At 41.2% G+C, this 19651-nt stretch overlaps 1 long non-coding RNA gene across 2 annotated transcripts, besides 2 other annotated features; it reads right to left on the reverse strand.

Annotated features, from left to right (window-relative positions):
• Positions 1 to 755: 755 nt before the first annotated feature.
• LOC124905974 (uncharacterized) lies at positions 756 to 19650 on the reverse strand. Of its 2 annotated transcripts, none has more exons than XR_007086221.1 (2): positions 19107 to 19650; positions 756 to 7257 (listed from the first exon to the last, which is right to left on the reverse strand). It is a non-coding gene; the product is annotated as an uncharacterized LOC124905974 (long non-coding RNA). The 2 variants fall into 2 exon arrangements; XR_007086222.1 differs by having other exon boundaries at positions 11418 to 19650.
• Positions 8567 to 9046: a transcriptional cis regulatory region, noted in NCBI's record as "candidate enhancer chr2.599 targeted for multiplex CRISPR interference". NCBI's record gives its function as "positively regulates TRIB2 gene expression with high confidence in K562 cells {active_cell/tissue: K562}" and the evidence as "EXISTENCE:mutant phenotype evidence [ECO:0000015][PMID:30612741]".
• Positions 19416 to 19635: a silencer, noted in NCBI's record as "silent region_11182". NCBI's record gives its function as "represses an Ori minimal core promoter by ATAC-STARR-seq in GM12878 lymphoblastoid cells {active_cell/tissue: GM12878}" and the evidence as "EXISTENCE:reporter gene assay evidence [ECO:0000049][PMID:35858748]".

The raw sequence follows: 19651 nt of genomic DNA on the forward strand, positions 1-19651 counted from the left end.
TTTGAAAATAGGTTTGAATAGAACTATTTTATAGGTCCACCAATATTATAAAATTAATTTGTCATTCAATAAATACATATTTCTAAAAAATATGTAATGTCAATTCTTTTTATACAAATGTCACTCCCCTCCCGAATTGCCCTTGATCCTCAACTCTTAAAAAGTCCAATATTTGGGTTAAGAAAGTTCTGAGTAAGTATCTGCGATGGCAACTTGTGACAGTGTAGGATTTTGATGTGCTTACTAGGTGCTACTTACACGTCGTTAAGTGCCCTTAAAAATCACTATTCACATTTAATTAAGAGTAACCTCCTTTAGATTAACTAGCAAAAAATTTCAAAAAGCTGGCTGAAAACGAGTTGCTCTTTCATGGTCACAAATCAAAAGTAGTTTTAAAAATCTAACTTTAAAGCCATATCATTACCTATGTGCTAGCTACCAGCTAACCAGAAAACCATATCACAAGTCACAACACTTGTGTCAGGCCTGTTCAAATTCTGTCACACTGGTCTACAGAAAAGTGACATGTTTCAGGGTCTTTGCTACAGAATGCAGTGATAGAATGTCAGAGCGAAATGGTCACAAAGAGTTTTAGATAATGATATGCTTATTTTCTGGCACAAACACAAGGGATTTTGATATTTCCTCATTGTTCAAGGTGAATCTGACTAGTCCCCAGCAGGTAAACATGTTACAAAGTCTTTCCCATAAATGGTGAGTCATGTACAGCAAAAGAAAACTTCCCTACTGCATTGTTCTATTAATCATTTGCATCTTTATTGGAGATTTAACCATTAATGCTTCAAGGTTAATACCTTTTAAAAAATACCGCAGATGAGGATGCTGAGGTCAATTTAATGTGGCAATGCATAAGTTATGTCTGTCTTTGGATCCTAAGACATATTTCCTAGTTATAAAACATACATATTCCAAAGGTGTTTTATATTCTATAATCCCAAATATATTGCAACTAAAGAGGGCCATTTAAAGATCAAAATCCAGTAGCAATTCCTTCATGCAACCCTCAAGACTTGACCTTCTAGGTACAATCTCAACAGTTGTGAGCATTGTAATTACTGTTTTCATACAGTTGTGATCCTTTTCATTGGAGAAAACATTTCTACATCTATCACTTCCTTGGATTTTTTAAGTCACCTGTGAGTAGGACAGACCAATGTTATAATTCTCCTTATATATATATAGACAAATAAATAAAATGAGCTACATTTTCCAAGTTTTACTCCTGAAAACAACTGAATGGAAAAGTCAAGATAAACACTTCTCTTCTCTACCCAAGTCTGATGTGATTGTGAAAAGTTACTAGAATAATGCTGGGACATTAAATATCTAATTATCCCTGTTACATACTTTCCTTGTGCCAGACACTAGGATCAATATTTTATATGAATTTCCTTATTTTAATCTAACTAGCAACTCTATGCATAGATATTATTTTCATTTTTGCATATGAAGAAACTGATTCATTGACTAGGCAAAAATCATAGGCTAAAAAGTTATAAAGTCATTATTTTAGTTCTGGGCAGTGGACTGCAAAACAGTGCTTTTATTTGCTGTGCCATATTGCATGGCATAATCTATAAATATTACCTCAACTTTAAGAGAGAATTTTGAGATATTTATGAAGCTTAACATTTGAGCCCAAAGTTTATCTGGATAGTTAAATGTCTAAAAATTATTGAAAAAGATCTAAAATAAAAGGAAGACAAATGTATACACAGTTATAGATACTGTGTGAGCTGCAAGGCAACTGAAAGGCAACTGAAGATTCCAAAAAATTACCCACTTATTATGACTACTTTGTATATGATGAAGTTGATATTTCAAAATGTCAGGGAGGGAATATTCACAAAATAAGGCAGAGATATTAAGTAGCCAATTTGGAAAAAAAATCAGGATGGAGCCATACTTCACACCACACAAAATTTTACATTTGAAATTCTGGATGCAATATGGGCATAAATTATTTATTTAATACATATTTGTGATACACCACTATTACCTAATGCTACATAAGATGGCACTGACCCATTTCCAAAATGATTCTTAGGTCCAGTTGGTCATTTCAATAAAATATATTCTCCTGAATTACAATTATTTTTTATTCAGCAAACACTTACAAAGCACTTTCTCTGGGTCATGCACTAGGATTGCAAAGCTAAAAGGCATAGTCTCTGTCCGTTAATTCTGTCTGGTCTACAAAGAGTTTTGAATACTCATTGATAGCTAAGAAGTTTGCTATAATGCAAACTTAAGGAAGAAGAGGAGGATCAGGAGAAGGAGAAGGGGGAGAAAAAGGAGAAGGGGAAGGAAGGAAGGAAGGAAGGAGGGAAGTGGACTACTAATTAGTCTCTGCATTTAAAAAAAGTACACTGTGGTTGGAAAGATATACAGGTAAATTATTTCAATATAACATGAGAGGTCCCCCCAAAGATGTTACGTGTGACTGTTAAGTATGCACAGAGAAAGGTTGTTTAGCTGAAAGTGGGCGTCCAGGAAGACTTCCTCAAGGTCATGATGCTAGAGCAGGATTCTAAAAGCTCACAAAAGTCAATTAGTGGAAAAAAGAATTGGCACATACTGGATGAATACATATTGAATTGATTGAATAAATAATGAATGATTGAATGGATGAATAAGTAAATGGATGGAGGAATTCAAAATGTCTAACGAAGTTTCTGGACTCTAGGCTTTTAATGACCTGCTGGAGAGAAGAGTCAGAAACATAAGAACTCAATTATTTCCCCAGAAGAAATCTGAAAATAGGTTTTTAGTTGGCATGCTTTCAGCTGCACGTAACAGAATACATGTCTACATGTGGCCTAAACAATCAGTGTTTGTAAATGAGTCTCTAAACACAAAAATTCTCGAGATAGGAATCTGGTATTTCGCACCTCAATTACACTAGATCTCTGGGCAACATCTCTTCAGTTCTCCTGGCTTCCCTTTGTGGTCTCAAGATGCTGCCAAAGCCTTAGGCATCATAGCCTCCATGATAATATACAGAGCAGGAATGGGCTTCTCCCCACGAACCCCTCACTTCTACTGGAGAGGAAAATCTTACCCCAACGTTTCCCAGATAGAATTTCCCTAAGTTCCATTGGCCAGGATTGTATCATATTGCCTTGCTTATTTGCATGGAAGGCTGGAAACATAAGTATCTGGCATTTCAGCTTCTATAGAGAGAATTGGCTTTGACCATTCGTAGATGGGAGAATGGCTGCAGCTTATACAAACAGCACTGCCTGTCATATGAGCTAGGTGAATACTGAAGAGAAGAATTAGTGACACATACATACGGTGCTCCTCCACATGCTAAGGCAACACAGGTGAACATCAGTTCCTACACATGAAACATAATGATAGTTTGGATGTGTTCTGTAACTTTCACCATTTCTTGTGCTTCTGTCATGCAGAGAATCCCCTCTAGCAAAAGAAGTGACTGTTTTTACACCTTACATCAATTCTGAGAAAATCAATGACCCCTTTGTCTTACCCCTTATATAAACTCCAAGAAAATCAGTGACCCCTTGGTCTTACACCTTATGTCAACTCCAAGAAAATCAGTGACCCCACAAGAAAGATGGAACAAAGTGATGGACATCTATGACATGCCAGGCTCTTTACTAGGAATGTGACACATATCATCTCATTCAGCCCTCACATGGATCCTGAGGCAGGGATTAAAAGGAAACTGAGGTTCACAGGTTCAAGTACTTGTCTCAAGTCAGAATACTGAGAGATCCTATAGCTAGGTGTGCATTCCTGGCCTGCCTGACTGTAAATAGCATCCCTCTGTTAGTACATCCACATGTCAGAGGTGATTTCATGTATGTCTGAATATGCTGAACATTCTACTTTTGTGAGCACTCCTGCTTGTATAATTTCTGAACAGTAACAATAGGTAGAAAATGTCTCTTTTAAGTCCCTCCTTGCTTATTTATTACTTCACATTTTAGACCCCATTTTCATAGTCCAAGAAATTTACACATTGTGCAATGACAACTATAAATCACATTCAAAATGACTCCTAGAACTAAAATGCCAAGTATTTGTCTGAGGTTTACAGAAGTTTTCATTTGAAAGATTTACATAGTTTGTTTTGAATCTTACACATTATTTGTTCAACAGATTTTCACTTCACATGTACCATGCATCATGCTCTATACACATGCAGATGTTTATAAACGTTTATTTGTGACCAGCCTCTAATTCAATAAATATTCCCTGATTATTTACCATAGCACCAACATCATGCTAGATTTTGATGGGTTAAAGAAGTAAGCAAAACCTTGTCCTTACACTCAGAAACTCTGTTAGTTGAGAGTCATTCTTCAGCTATTCCAGAGAAAATATTTATTGTGCTTTTTTCCCTAACTCAGAAATGAAATTTATAAAAGCATAAAACGTGTGCTGGTTTTTCTGTTTTCACCCACTCTAGATCCCACTCTCTACCCTTCTTCTTTGCTCTTCTCTGTGCCACATGAGGCCAACTCCTGTGGACAGCTTTCTTCCCTTCCTGAATGGCGTCCAGTTGGACTCATCCAAAGAGCAGCACTAGGGAAATACGTTAAGCTTCAGGTCACTTCTTCCTGGCTCCCTTCTTGCTTAAGACTGTGTTTCTGGCAGGGGCTTCCTCCTCCCAGGAAGATGGCTCCTTCCGGGGTCGGGGGTCGGGTAGAGGATGGCTCTCCACCAGAGATCTGGTTCTCATTGGGTTCCAGTAACACCATTTTTCCTGGGTGTCTTGACCATGGAGATGGTAATAGCAGAAGCTTTTACTCATCTCTGGGTGCCTTCCTCTTCCTTGTTTGTTCTCTTAACTAGCACACACATCTGTGGAGTCCCTTTATTAAAATCTCTTCATCGAAACCACCCAGGGCAAATTCTGTTTCTTGCTGGGACTTTGAGTAATCAGAATATCAGAGCTGATGAAGTTAGAAATTCAATCTCTGTTTCTTATTTTACAGGAATGGAAACTAGGGCTCAGAGGTTTCACTTGCCAGAAGTCACTCGGTCCCTGGGAAGGATGCAAACCAGCTCACCTGGCTCTCCAGCACATGCACCCCAGACCACCCCCAAGGATGTGACCCATTCCTTCTGTGGAGTCTGATCTTCCAAACTTTAGACAACAGCTCCTTCTGCAAGCTTTCGAGCCTGCAAGCTAAGGACATGAATGAACTGAGTCATCCCCACAGAGCTTCATTAATTTTAAGGCAATTTAAGATTTCTGAGTCATAGGTTTCAGTCATTTAGATTTTCCCAGCTGGTACTGTACTTGCCCACACACACTTTTCTTTAAAGATTGCATCTGTCTAGATGTGTGGTTCTGCCCACCCTTCCTCAGTTTCTGAGAAGAAACTCGCCCTCGTGGAGTGCTACATGCAGGGCTAAGCCATTTCCATTTGCCACGTGCATTAGAGTCTTTGCCTGAGGGATTAATGGGATTAGCAGTCTGCAGCTTGATCTAGACTCTATCCACCAGAGACATGCACAATTCCAAATTCTATATCCAACACAATATTTTACCCAGTCTCCCAAGAAAATTCAGTTATGCCATATGGTGACTCCACTCACTGAATAATATTTAGCAACTTGATGAACAAGGACTGAATCATATCTTAACCATCTTGGCCAAATATTGTTTTATATAGCAACAGTATTAGTAATATATATGTTTTATTTTTTACACTAGTACTTCCTGCTACGCCCACTGAAAATTAAGAGCTAGACCTCACTGGAAGTAGACTACACAATAAAAGAGTTCTCGCTCATTAGCAACCTCCAATTCAATATTGCATTGTATGTATGATACATTCAGAATGTCTGCTTTTTCCTTCCTCCAGAGCAGCTGCTGGGATTGAGCAATAGTCTCCCAGGGTAACGCAGCAGGGAATCCTGGGGCATTTCCCAGACACTGAAAACAAAGGATATGTATCCATGGGGAGGATAGGGCTTCAGCTCTCTCCCTCCCACTAAGAAGTTCTCCATATCCTCAGTATGTGGGGGAGAAAATTAGCAAGCCTCTGAGTGAGGAGCCCCTGTGACCCAGGGATTTTAAGAAAGTCGTTTTCCTCCCTGAGCCTCAATTCAACTGTTCAAGAGGGATAATCATGAAAACCCTTTATAAACTGTAATACAATATGCAAATGCTAGGTTGGTCATTTACAATGTGCAGATTCTGTTAAAATTGTACATACATGCAACCATGAGGAAGATGCAATCTGTATCTTCAACCATCTTACCAGTGGAAAATAGAAACTTGTGGAGATAACAGAGATAATTTCAACAAAATACAACTTGGCTAAGATAGAGTTATGAAAAGTAGAGAGACTCTTAGGTCAACATGAAAGTTCCTGAAGTTGCCAGTACCCAAGAGGAATCTTGAATGATCAGCAAGATTTATAGCGGCTATAAGAATATTTATTCCCAGCAGCCAGGGGCATAAGCATCAGTTACTAGTGAGTATAATGCATGTCCCAAAGTGGCAGGAAATAAGGCCATATTTATAGCAATTAAGAAATATTAGCTATTATTACTGTAGCATCAGGGCTTTCTGAAAATCAAAAAAAAGGGATTTCTGGGAGAGTCTCATGCTAAGGCTTCAGCAACTCTTCTCACCCCACCCTGTGGGGCCACTATTGTGCCCATCTTCTGGGAAACTGTTGTAAAATGCTCCCTTGATTTATTACTGAGTATAAAACTAACCCAATACTTACTGATGTAAAATAACCCACTTCTTTATATCATGGTTTTGTGCAGCAGGAACTGGGGCAGATGGCACAACTGGGGTCACTTAGTGATGTTCTGTTGGTTGCTGCTGCTGCTGCTGCTAGAAGTATCGAGATGGTTTTATTACCATGCCTGGAGTCTTGTCAGTTGGTTGGAAGCCTGGGCTCTACCAGGCCCATCTCCTTCTTCACATATTCTTGGGGCCTTTCCTGCTGATTTCTCCGGCCAGGTAGCTGGTTGGATTTATTTCCTGCCACCTCGAAGCTTCAAGAGACTATGGTAGAAGTTTCTAGGTCTCTCCAAGGCAAAGCCTGGGACTGGCCATATGTCATATCTGCCATTTCCTATGGGTCCAAGCAGTCTCAGGTCAGTGCAGATTCAAGTGGAAGGAAATAGACTCCACTTTTTAATGGGAGAAGTGTCAAGTATGTATGGCTGTCTTTACTCTGGCACATTTCTCTCTCCACTTATGGTCACGCTGTGTGTGTAAGAAAGTCTTGTTGATTCCTGTGATAGGAAACAAAAGAAAAAATCTCCAGTAAAAAAAAATAGTGCAGCATAAAAGAGGCTTCTGTCCTTCTTCTGTGAGTTCCTATATGACCCACTGTCCTGTGTCCAGCACCTAGCACAGTGCTTGGCATACAGAAGGTGATCAATCCACAGAACTTAGCTGACAGGATTTTGCTACTATATTGTTATGTGAGTGAATTTCTCACAGTGAACCTTCCAGGAAAGGTGCCAGGGGAATCTTATTGCAAAACTAGCAGTTTATTGGGTTGACAAAGAGAACATTCAATTAAAAAGATTTTTCAGAACACAATGGAATCATTTTAGTTGTGAAATGTGAGCTTAAAAGTTATCATTTTGAAACATCCAACAAGCATTTCAAGACTCCATGGCAAGATGCAGCCCCCTGTACATAGGCACAGATGGAGGGTCCTTGTTGGGCACAAAAAAGCAGAGGCCCCTGTGTAAATCCCAGGATTCTCTGCCCCAGTAAAAAGCTCAGGCTCTGTCCCTAGTGCCAGGCATGTAAAAGAATGCTACATATTGATTTATCTAACAAACAGTGATGACAACCACCATGTGCCTATCACCATCCTAAGCACTGTGAGTATAGAGGGAAATAAGACAGGCTCTAGGTCTCAAAGGCCTCTTGTCTCCACAGTAGGAAATTTTCTGCCCATTCTTAGAGTCTAGGGAAATACTTGGATGTTATGAGGTGGTAGACTAAGATGGTGAGGGGCAGAGAGGCAGAGTCAGCCCACTACCCAACCACGGAACCACTATGCCAGAGGGAAGAATCTTCACAGTATTAGAGAGATATCAAGTGTCTCAGTGTATATCAGTAGCTTTTAGCTTCTGCCTCCTTCCTGTTAAACACAATAATCTCTACCCCAAAATTAGCCTAGAAGAGGGTGTGGCTTCTATTTGGTTTATACTCTGTCTCTGGTTCTTCTCACATTTGCCCTGGATAAAGCAAGCTGCCATGTGTGGGCTGACCTATGGAGAGGCCCATGTGGTCAGGAACTGAGAGTGGTTTTCAGCCAACATCCAAGGAGAAAATGAAACCATCAGTTCAACAACTTTCAAGAATCTGAATCCTGCTAGTAACTATATGAGTGACCTTGGAAGCAGATCCTTCCCCTGTTGAGCCTTCAGATGAGAGCACGGGCCTGGCCTACACCTTGATTACATGCTTGTGAATGATTCTGAGGCAAAAGACTTAGCTAAGCTATGACTGGATTCCTGACCCAGAGAGATGATGATTTTTTTTAAGCCACTAAGTTTTGGGGGATAACATGTTATGTAGCAATACATAACTAATACAAGTGTATAAAAGAAGAATACAATTCAACTAGCTCAGCTTCCAGTCTACTGCACTTTCTACCACCCCATGTGATTTCTGGCTCATAAGGATCTTTCATCTAGAAGCCACGGGAGCATCTGGCTAGAGGAGTGAAGTCCTAGGGTTTTATTTCAATAACTACATGTTTTCATGGTCTGACTACAGCCTTGTGTTTGTTCTCTGCAGCTTCTGTCTCTACCTCAGACAGACCTAACTGCTGTTTCTTATCTCAGCAGACCTGTGTCTTCCTGCCTCCAGGGCTTGGCGCACTATCTTCTCTTAGAAACACTCTTCTATCTTGACCTGCTGATAGTCTACTCAAATTTCAAGGCCAGTTCAAAAGTGTTCCTTCCTTGTTTTCCTGGCTGGCAAGATTCTTCTTCTTCTCTGAATTTTCCATATATATATATGTATATATATAGAAGAATATATATATATATGTATATATATAGAAGAATATATATATATGTATATATATAGAATATATATATGTATATATATAGAATATATATATGTATATATATAGAATATATATGTATATATATAGAATATATATATGTATATATATAGAAGAAAATATATATGTATATATATAGAAGAATATATATATATATGGAAGAAGAATATATATATATGAATACATATATATTATATGTATTCATATATATACACACACACATATATACACACACACATATACACACACACATATGCACACACACACACACACACACACACATATATGCCCTACTCTGTGCCAAGGGGTATTCTCAAGGATAAAATGGCAAATAACATTCCCTGCCTTCATTTATTTTATATTTGATAATTAATTGTAGTATCTACTGTTGGCTTTGCAGTAGAATTACTTTATGCAAATATTATGTACCTCAACTCGATTATCAATTCTGAGGGCAATGATACACACAGCCCCTGTGATGTCTATAGTAACAGAGTCCCAAAGCAGAGTAACTGTTTGTTATGGACTGAACTGTGACCCACCACAAATTCTTATCACAAAACCCTAACCCCCAATATGATTATATTTTCGGAGATAGAGCCCTATAAGGAGGCAAGTAAGGTTAAAATAGATCGTAAGGGTGGTTCCTAATCCAATAGGACTGGTGTCCCCACAACAGGAGGAAGAAATACCAGGGATGCTCAGGCACTGAGAAAAAGACCCTAAGAGGACCTAGCAAGGAGGCAGCCATCTGTAAGCGAAGAACAGAGGCCTCAGGAGAAACCAAACCTGCTGAAACCTTGACCTTGGACTTCCGGCCTTAAGAACTGTGAGAAAATACATTTCTCTTTAAGCCCCCAGGCTGTGCCATGTTATTACGGCAGCAGAAGCAGAATAGTCCTGTCATTGACAAGACTGAGCCAAGTAGTGTAGTCGACTAAGTAGGTCCACAATAGCATGACAAAGCTATAGGCCAGAGGTATCCAATCTTTTGGCTTCCCTAGGCCACACTGGGAAACGAATTGTCTTGGGCCACACATAAAACATACTAAACTAATGATAGCTGATGAGCTTTTTAAAAAAGGTTTCATAATATTTTAAGGAAGTTTACAAATTTGTGTTGGGTTTCATTCAAAGCCATCCTGGGCCGCATGCAGCCCATGGGCCACGAGTTGGACAAGTTTGCTATAGGCCATGGGCTCAGACACATCTGAATTTCAATTTTGTCTCTACCCAACAAAAGTAACTCGTTCTTGTTGAATCTCAGTTTTTCTTGTCTATAAAATGGGGTTAATCCTCCCTGTATTTCACCGTTACCAAAAGGAAGATATGAGGTAGTGGTTGCAAAGTGCTTGTCATAAACTTAATGTAGAAAAATGTATTACCTCCTGGAACCTTCCTTCTTTGCTCCTCCCTAGGGAGTGAGATGGAATCAATAAGATGGCCAGGCCAGATATTTGGAGCCTGTGGCAAAAGTTAAATCCATCATACTGATTCACTCTATTTATTTAAAATCTTGATGGGTTTTTCATCAGAGTTTTTTGCCTTAATATTTATTTTTTAAAATATTGTATGAAAATATTTGTCTTGATTACTGATTTTTTTTTAGCTCCCCCTTTCAATTTTTGCACCTGAGACAAGTGCCTGGCTCTCCATACCCTAGTTGGGATCCTGGATACCTAACTAATCAAGAAAGCCTCCTTTGGCCCGAGCACAAAGCTAACCAGGATTCTTTCATAATATCACAAACTCCAAGAGTCCCTGTACCCCAGATGCTGGCAGGCTGTGGATGGAACACTTTGGTCTGCAATGCAGAATGATTCTCTCATCATCTGGGGACGTAGGGCTTTTCTTATAGCATCAGGGTAAAACTTTTTTCTTTTTTTTTTTTTTGTCTGAGATGACCTAGCAAGGGTCCCTGGTTGGAAGGGAGATGAGCTTCCTACAATGGGATGTTTTCCCAGTCTTATGTGTGCTTTGTCTGTTTCCCTGAGGAATTTTAGTGAACTTAGAGAAAAGGAACATGTTAGCAGCACGTGGGGCTGGCCTGGAAGAGAGGCTCTGCCAGGCCCTGATGAATCCCCATTTTCTGGCTGAGAATCCTTGCCATGCCTTCTGTATGTCATACCCGTATGTTGAGGTTTGTGCCTCTCCCATCAGGCTGAGAGCAGCCAGAAGACACGAGATCATAGCACATCCTTAACTTTCTTGCCTTGCACAGGCTCAGTGAGGAGAAAGAGGCAAGGGGAGAAAGAGAGAGGAGAGGGGAGGTGTTAATTAGGATTCTCCAGAATGACAGAACTATTAATAATAGGATATATGTATATATGAAAGGGAGTTTATTAAGGAGAATTGACTCACACTATCACAAGGTAAAGGAAGTCCCATGATAGATCCTCGGCAAGCTGAGGAGGTAGGAAACCAGTGGTGGCTCAGTCTGAGTCCAAAAGCCTCAGAAGTAGGGAAGCCTTCAGTCTGTGGCCAAAGGCCCGAGAGCCCCTGGCAAACCACTGGTGCAAGTCCAAGAGTCCAAAGGTTGAAGAACCTGCAGTCTGATGTCCAAGGGCAGGAAGCATCTAGCACGAGAGAATGATGAAGGACGGAAGACTCAGAAAACCAGCTTATTCCACCTTATTCTGTCTGCTTTGTTTTAGCCACGCGGGGCTGGCAGCCAATTGGATGGTGCCCACGTACATAGAGTGTGGGTCTTCCTCTCTCAGTCCACTGACTCAAATGTTAATCTCCTCTGGCACCCTCACAGACACACCCCAAAACAATACTTTTCCAGTTATCTAGGCATCCTTCAAACTAATCAAGTTGGCATCTAGTATTAACCATCACAGGAGGAGAAAGAGAAGTTTAACTAATGTGTTTATATTAATATTGGCCGTGGTGGTGGTAAGAGCCTACACTCACTGCCAACCAGACAGAAAGTGAGCACTTTACCTGTGGACCATCTAAACCTGACAATCACTCTATGAGGTCTGTACTATTATTGTGTCATTTTAAAGAAGCCAAAAGTAAGATTTAAGGATATTATAGAGTTTACCTAAGGCCATACAGCTACTGAACTTCAGAGGAAGTACTCAGGCAAATGCTTGGCCTATTTAATGATAGTTGGTTGACTTTTGCATTCAGCTTTTTTCTAGATGTGGTTTCCCCAGGGTCTGTCAGAGATCACACCTTGGAGTCACTGAGCAGCTGTGCCATTTAGAAAGCTGTTTACTTCCTGGAGTCAAAATCCTGTCTAACTCACATTTGTTAGTAAGCTCTTTTATTGAATCATGTGAAATTTGAATGATATCAAATTTCATATTGTCCAGAGTATAGAAATTATAGTTTTTAACTGCCTAAATGAAAAAATATGAAATCTGTTATTTGTCTACATTTTTGTATTTTATTAACCACAAAAGCAGGTGTAAATATTTGTAATGAGAATGTGGAGATATGGGTGAGCCAGATTGTTTATTCCATCCATAGTCTACTGAGTAGATTACTTTACATAGAGCTGAGACTCCATGCTACACTTGCTCTACTACAGTCCACCTGAGGATCCAGGACTCACAAATCAGAAACCACTATCCTACAGATGTCACCTTTTTGTTCAGACATGCTTTCCTGTTTAGCGATGGCTAATGTTGCATTCACATCAAATTCCATGCACAGGGCCCTGATGCATGATCCAAAAATTGTCTTAGATTTAGAATGCTATTTGGACACAGAAGGTAATAAAAAGTGGAGCAAAGGGGACAAAAGGAGAAAGTGCAGGGGGAGAGAACAGGGAGTGGCAGGAAGGAGAACTGTATCATACAAAGATTGCAGGATTTTCCACTAGAATGACCAGGTTTGTGTTCACGGGCTAGTAAATTCCTTGAGACGCAGGTTTCTTCTACTGAGGCTAATAACAAAACCTCTTTTAAGGAGTTGTTGTTTGGATTAAATAAGACAAAATGCATAAGGGTGTTTGTTAAATTGGCAAGCCTGGTACACATATTAATTCTCTTCAACCTTAATCTGAGTTCTCAGGGTCATCCAAGGCCAAGTTGATGATTGATTTGGTGCCCAAATTGGATGGAATCTCAATGCATCGGTGTTCAGATATTGGTCTACTTGTTACATGCCTGATTTTCCCACACTAAAGGTTATATTGTAAAAGCTGAAGGGAATCTTAAGTGATAATTTGATTTTGCCTATTTTCTTCATAAGGAAGGTATTATTATCTCCATTCCATCCAAGAGCAACGATGGTCAGGGAAGTTAAATACCATTCAAGGCCTCTGAAGCTTGTGAAACCAGGGGTGGTCTGGACCCAGGTCTGTCTGCTCCTTTGAGGTCTGTGTGCTAGGTGTGGGAACGCGCACTAGATTTACCAGAACACCCTTCAAATGGAATCATTTACAGTAACCTAGCACTCTACATAATATGTAAATTTGTAGCACTTCCTGGACTAGCTGCTTCATTTTACCTGTTTTTACTTTTTTTATTAGCTGCTCAGCAATACTTAACAGGACGGTAGGCAATTTGCAACACTCAGAAAATTCCCATATGTTGGGTTTCCCACCCTACTCTAAGAACAACAACAAAATTTTCTTGTATCTCATTTCACTTGTGAGCACACAAGAGCTATTTTCCTGTATGAGAAGAAGAGTTACAAAACCAGGGCCTAGAAAGAAGTGGTGCTAATATTACTATTTCTTCTGTATTTATACCCTGGTCTTTTCCCAGTGGACAATTTATCCAGAGACAAAAACACATCCCCAGCCTAGCCATGGTAAAGTAAGCAAGTGAGCAAACAAACAAGCAAAAAGGCATAGGTCACTCAAGTGGAAAGTCCTGCAATTTTTGTATGATACAGTTCTCCTTCCTGCCACTCCCTATTGTCTCCCCTGCACTTTCTCCTTGTGTCCCTTTTCCTCCTCTATGACCTACTGTGTCCAAATAGCATTCTAAATCGAAGACAATGATTGGATCATGCATTGGGGCCCTGTGAGTAGAATTGCATGTAAATACAACATCAACCACTGCAAAACAGGGAAGTACATCTGCATAAAAAGGTGACATCTAAAAGGTGACCTTTTAATAGGTACTACTAAAAAATACCTTGTAAATAAGCAGCTGCTTCTCCAACACGAGCTGTTAAAAAAATTGAGAATGGAAATCACCATTATGGAAGGATTTTACGTGGGCCATTCAATCCAAAGGTTCAGTCAACTCTAGAAAGCCTAATGACAAGTAATGTGATATAGTAAAAAATAATCATATAGTTTCAGAATAAACTTTTCTCCTGCCCCCTTTCTTCTCAATACACACATACACATACACACACATGCACATACACACACATGCACATACACACACATGCACATACACACACATGCACATACACACACATGCACATACACATGACCTCCAGGGCCACTGAGTAATGGGCTACCATGGAATAAATTAATTAGTCTCTCTGGGTCCTGTTTCCTCAATCCATAAAATGGAGTAATAATTCAAAGGGTTGTATAAGAACTAGAGAGAAAGAAAGTAGCTGGTCTAGCATTCAAAAGGCATAATTAAAATACAACTATTATTAAAGTTAGTAACAGAGAATATTCTCAAAGTGATGGGGCAATTTATGACAAGGAGTTAACACAGTCAACACGAGCCAAAGCATAGCAGCAAGTCACTGACTCCATCACCACCGAAATGCAGCTAGGCAGCATGACTATCTTCAAAGCAAAGGATCATGTGGATCACGTGGACCAGTGGCTGCAGCTATGAAGGTGTGCACCTCTTCCCTGAACCTCTTCCTTCTTCTCTACCTACACAAATGGATGACAGAACCTCTTCATAAGTTAGCAGAACATTCAAGGAAGGCAGCAAGGGAGTATGAAATTGAATGCAAAGTAATGTAACACTAACAGTAGAACTAAGGCAATGGTGAAGGACTCAGTTTAAGATATGGCACCTTCTAAAACATTACAGAGCAGGATGTATCCTGATTGGGTTTCCCATTCATGGATTGGTTAAATCTTGCATGAAGCAGTAAGTGGGAGCACTTATCTTCTTGGCTACCTTTACTGACTGACACTAGGCAATCTGTAGATTCCATCATCAGGAGTATCTAGATTGGAGCTCAGGCATTAACACCACAAACCTCTTCATTATTGTCCAAGCACAACCATGTCACCTGGATTTTGAACATGTCATTTAAAACCTGACACATCCACATAGCCAAATAAGAGAACTGGGGAATGTAACCTTGAACTGAGGGAGTGCAGCCAGGTGAAGGGAACATCCTGGAAAAGATTCCAGGGAAACATGGAGGCACCAAATACGCAGGAGGAAATGATCCAAGTCATAAACACAAAAGTAGGAGCCTGGAGTCCATGGGGTGATGAGCAGCTGGCCGGTAGGTAACCAAAAGTGAGAGACGAAGTTGTTGGGAAGTTCCTGAATTTCAGGCCAATGGGTTTATGTCTAAGGCTCTAACAGCTGCTTGGTCAGAATGCTTGTGTCCCCCCAGATTCACATGTTGAAACATAATCACCAACGTGATTGTATTAGGACATGAGGTCTTTGTGAGGTGATAGGTCATGAGGGCAGAGACCTCAAGAATAAGGTTAGTGTCCTTATAAAAGAGACCCCAGAGAGCTGTCCTGCCACTTCCACCACGTGAGAACAGTATGAAGGTGCCATCTATGAACCAGGACTCTGGCCCTTACCAGACACAAAACGGGCCGATGCCTCGACTTGGACTTTCCAGCTTCTAGAACTGTGAGAAATACATTTCTGTTGTTTATGTGCCACCAGCGTATATTTTATTATAGCAGCCCAAACAGACCAGGACAACTGCATTTTGCACAACTTCAGGGTTTCATTCACAGAGCTGTCAGTGAGAATGGAATGTTCTGGAGTTCAGCAGGCCACAGTCTGCGTGCACATCAGCATGACGTGAAACTCTCTACAACTTAAACTAGAAGTTTATCAAATAGTTTTGAGCCTACACATGACTTGCTGCCCGAGTTGAAACACGGGAAATGTTGTCACATATGGTAAAGGCCTTAAAGTGATATAGTAGTCTTATGGTTTCTTCTCCAAAAGCATTTATTATTATTTGATCAACACACACAGCACTTAGTTTAGGGCTTCACATTTAGCAGAGGCCCACTGTGTGTTTGTAAATGAATGAACTAATGAGCAATAAAGTGAATGAGTGAGTGAAGGAGCAGCTAAATATATTGCAGAATAAAGAATGTTCTAGAAAACATGCACAACATGTTACTGACCCAAGACAACTGGATTTGTCCTACTGCAGAGTAGACTGGTTTAAATATATCCCCTTGTAATTATATAATCCTTTTTTAATTGCCACATATTTTATTATTGTTGCATACTGTATAGGACCATTCTTATAACTATGTTTAACAACTCCCACACACCTTGCCAATACTGTAAACATGTTATCTATTACTATTACTTCATGTTAGATTGCTTTCTGTGGATGAATTCCAACAACAACAATAGTAAAATAGTAACGGCTGCTTTTTTTTTTTTTGAGATGGAGTCTTGCTCTGTTGCCAGGCTGGAGTGCAGTGGCGTGATCTCGGCTCACTGCAACCTCCACCTCCCAAGTTCAAGCAATTCTCTAGCCTCAGCCTCCCAAGTAGCCGGGACTATAGGCATGTGCCACCATGCCCAGCTAATTTTTGTATTTTTAGTAGTGACGCGGTTTCACAATGTTGGCCAGGATGGTCTCGATCTCTTGACCTCGTGATCGGCTCGCTTTGGCCTCCCAAAGTGCTGGGATTACAGGTGTGAGCCACCACACCCGGCCTTGAGTTTTTATTATAGGCAAGACATTGTGCCAGATGCTTTATACACATCTTCCATAATTGCTATACATTAAGACAAAATTTCTATTGTAATTTCACTTTATAGATTAAAATATTCCAAACTTGACCAAAGTCATATGGCTAAAAAGTGAATGAATAAAGATCCCCACCCAGATCTTCCTACTACATGCTTTTTTCTTTTCCAATTTGCTAAGAATTACCGAGTTAACAGACATAACAAATATTTAAGGCACTTGATACAAATTATCTAATTTATCCTGCACTGCAATAGCTCCGTGAATTTAATCAACAAACATAGCACTAAGCCATGAATTTGGCCTTCAAGGACAGGCAGGAGAATGGCCACTGTGTAATTTCATCACAAGTCATAAATTCACTATTAATCCTGTACAGCATCACTAGAGGTTTATACTATTTCTGCTCTCTCTTTCCTTGGAAGCCCAGTAGTATCTACTCCCTGTGATCTGCAGCAGGATCTAAATCCCACAAACGACCGTGTCACTTCCCAATGTCAGCCGTGCTTCGCCATCTCCTCTACTAGGAAGACCACTGTTGCTAGTTGTGTCTATCAACCCCTTCCCGATCTAATCCCAATCAGTCCACTTTGCCAGCCACATGCCTGGCCACTGCTCCCAGCTGCCACTGCTGGAACATGGTGCATTACTAGAAATTTCAGAACATCCCACTCCCTTGCTTTTCCACATTCCTTCCCTCTGCCTGAAATGCCAACAACAATCTCTTATTCATTTTATTTTATGACTCATAGGGCTATTTCAAGGTCCATGAAGACAGGAAATATATTTTTCAAATCATTGTATCTTCATATCCAGTGTCTGGCACATAGTAGGTTTCAATAAATATTTGCTCTGGATTAGTTCAAGGTAATAAAAATCACATTTTCTGGGAAAACTCCCTGACGTTCAGGAAAAGTCATTCCCTCCTCCATGCTCCCTTGAGGCCTTGATATTCTAATTGCCACATTGTTACACAATGACATTATTTGTTTCCCAGTCTTTCTGCCGGGCTAGACCCTGCGCTCTTGGGTGGCAGAGACCAGATCTTACTCATATTGGATCCCTAACACTCAGCACAGAGCCCGGCTTATAGTAAGCCTTCATAGATTTCCTGGAATTGAAAATATAATTCTAAAGCAACCACATGAGGTGAGCAGGGCGGGTATTATGCTTCTCATCTTACAGATGAAGAAACAGGGATCTAGGGAGAAAAAACAAGGTCTTCACCCAATTTCCATTTGAAATCAGAGACCCAGCCAGGGCTAGCACACAGGTGTCCCAACCCCTAATTATTACAAAGCTCTCTTGGCCACTGCATAGAGGAGGCTAGGCACCTCTCTTTCTGACTCAACAGCAGGGGTTGCTTCGAGACTGTTCCTAACACAGGCCAAGTGTCTTCCTGGGGTAAGACTGGATTAGGGGACCCTGCTCGGTCAGTGGTCCTGGTGATCGCCTAGGGAAATAGATCTATTCTGCTGGGATCTGGGACTGAATCCTAGGCAGGTTTGTGGGGAGTAGGATGGTGAGAGGTGCTGGAAGGCACGGGTCCACTTCTTAACCTTCCTTTTAACTCTGTGCTGCTGGGTGGAAGCTTTATAGTCAATGTCCTCTCCATCTCTGGCCACATTCCCAGGACTCCTGATCATTAGAGTGACTGTTGTCCCAAGTGGACATAATTATAAATAGCTCCCTTCTTTTACTGAAAGTGTCCTACAGTGGACAATAATTTAGTCCCCTCCTCCAGTGGAAAATATACTACACGCATGCAAAAGCTCAGAGGGCTCCAGGAGTCGTCCCAACTCCCCTTTCTCAGTTCCTTGGGATTTTTTTTTTTAAGTTTGTCCTCTACTAGATCGCTTCTCATTCACCAGGATATCTTAGATCAAGGCTGGCGTTTGAAGCCTCTGCCTGAGTTCAAGCCCCTTGCTTCCGGTGTTCCTGTCCAAGCCCGCGGACTGGAATCTCCCAAGGAAGTTACGAATAATTCGGGGGGGGTGGCGAAATGGGGGGTGGAGTGGGGCGTGAAACTGCAGCCTTCACCTGGCTAACAGAAGAGGACTCAGGACGCCCAGCACCCTGGATAGGACCCAACAGCGCTCCCTGGAGGTGTGGGTGCAAAGTTTTGTCTAGCTTGGCCTCCAAGGCCCTCCAGGCAATGCACTGGGAAGGGAAGAATTAGTGATTAAATTTGACCTGAATCAAAAGATGCCTTCAGTTCCTCTTCTGCTGAAAACACTAGAAATACAAGCCCAGGATGTGGGGATCGGGGGCAAGCGGTGACACCAACTAAAAGGAAGCAATGGATTTCCTTTTAAATGGAGAGGAGGATGTCGGAGAGATACCATGAAACGAATTCTCGAAACTCCAGGCAGCAATACCGATGAAAGCGCATTCTTCCAAAACAGAGCTCCTCATTCAGGGCCACATCTGAGCCTGGGGGCCCAATGCTCAGAGCGTGCCTGGCTTTCTGGGGAAAAGCGCCAGGAACATGAACGAGCTACGAAGAGCTGGAGCGGGCGCTGCGGGAGCAGCGTGTGGGGAACGGCTCGGGAGTCGCTGCTGGTAACCCCGGCCCAGCCGCCCGCAGCTGGGCTCGCAGCCGGCTCGCAGCCGACACCCAGGGTGCTGCGCCCGGGGCCCCGGGCCGCGGAAGGATATTTCACTTTGTTTACCTCCCCGGCCGGGCGAGGGAGCTGCGAGGCCGGTGCTGGCGCCCCCGGCACGGAGCTGCAATGGCA

The sequence above is a fragment of the Homo sapiens genome, chromosome 2 (assembly GCF_000001405.40).
Source record: "Homo sapiens chromosome 2, GRCh38.p14 Primary Assembly".
NCBI classification, from domain to species: Eukaryota; Metazoa; Chordata; class Mammalia; order Primates; family Hominidae; genus Homo; species Homo sapiens.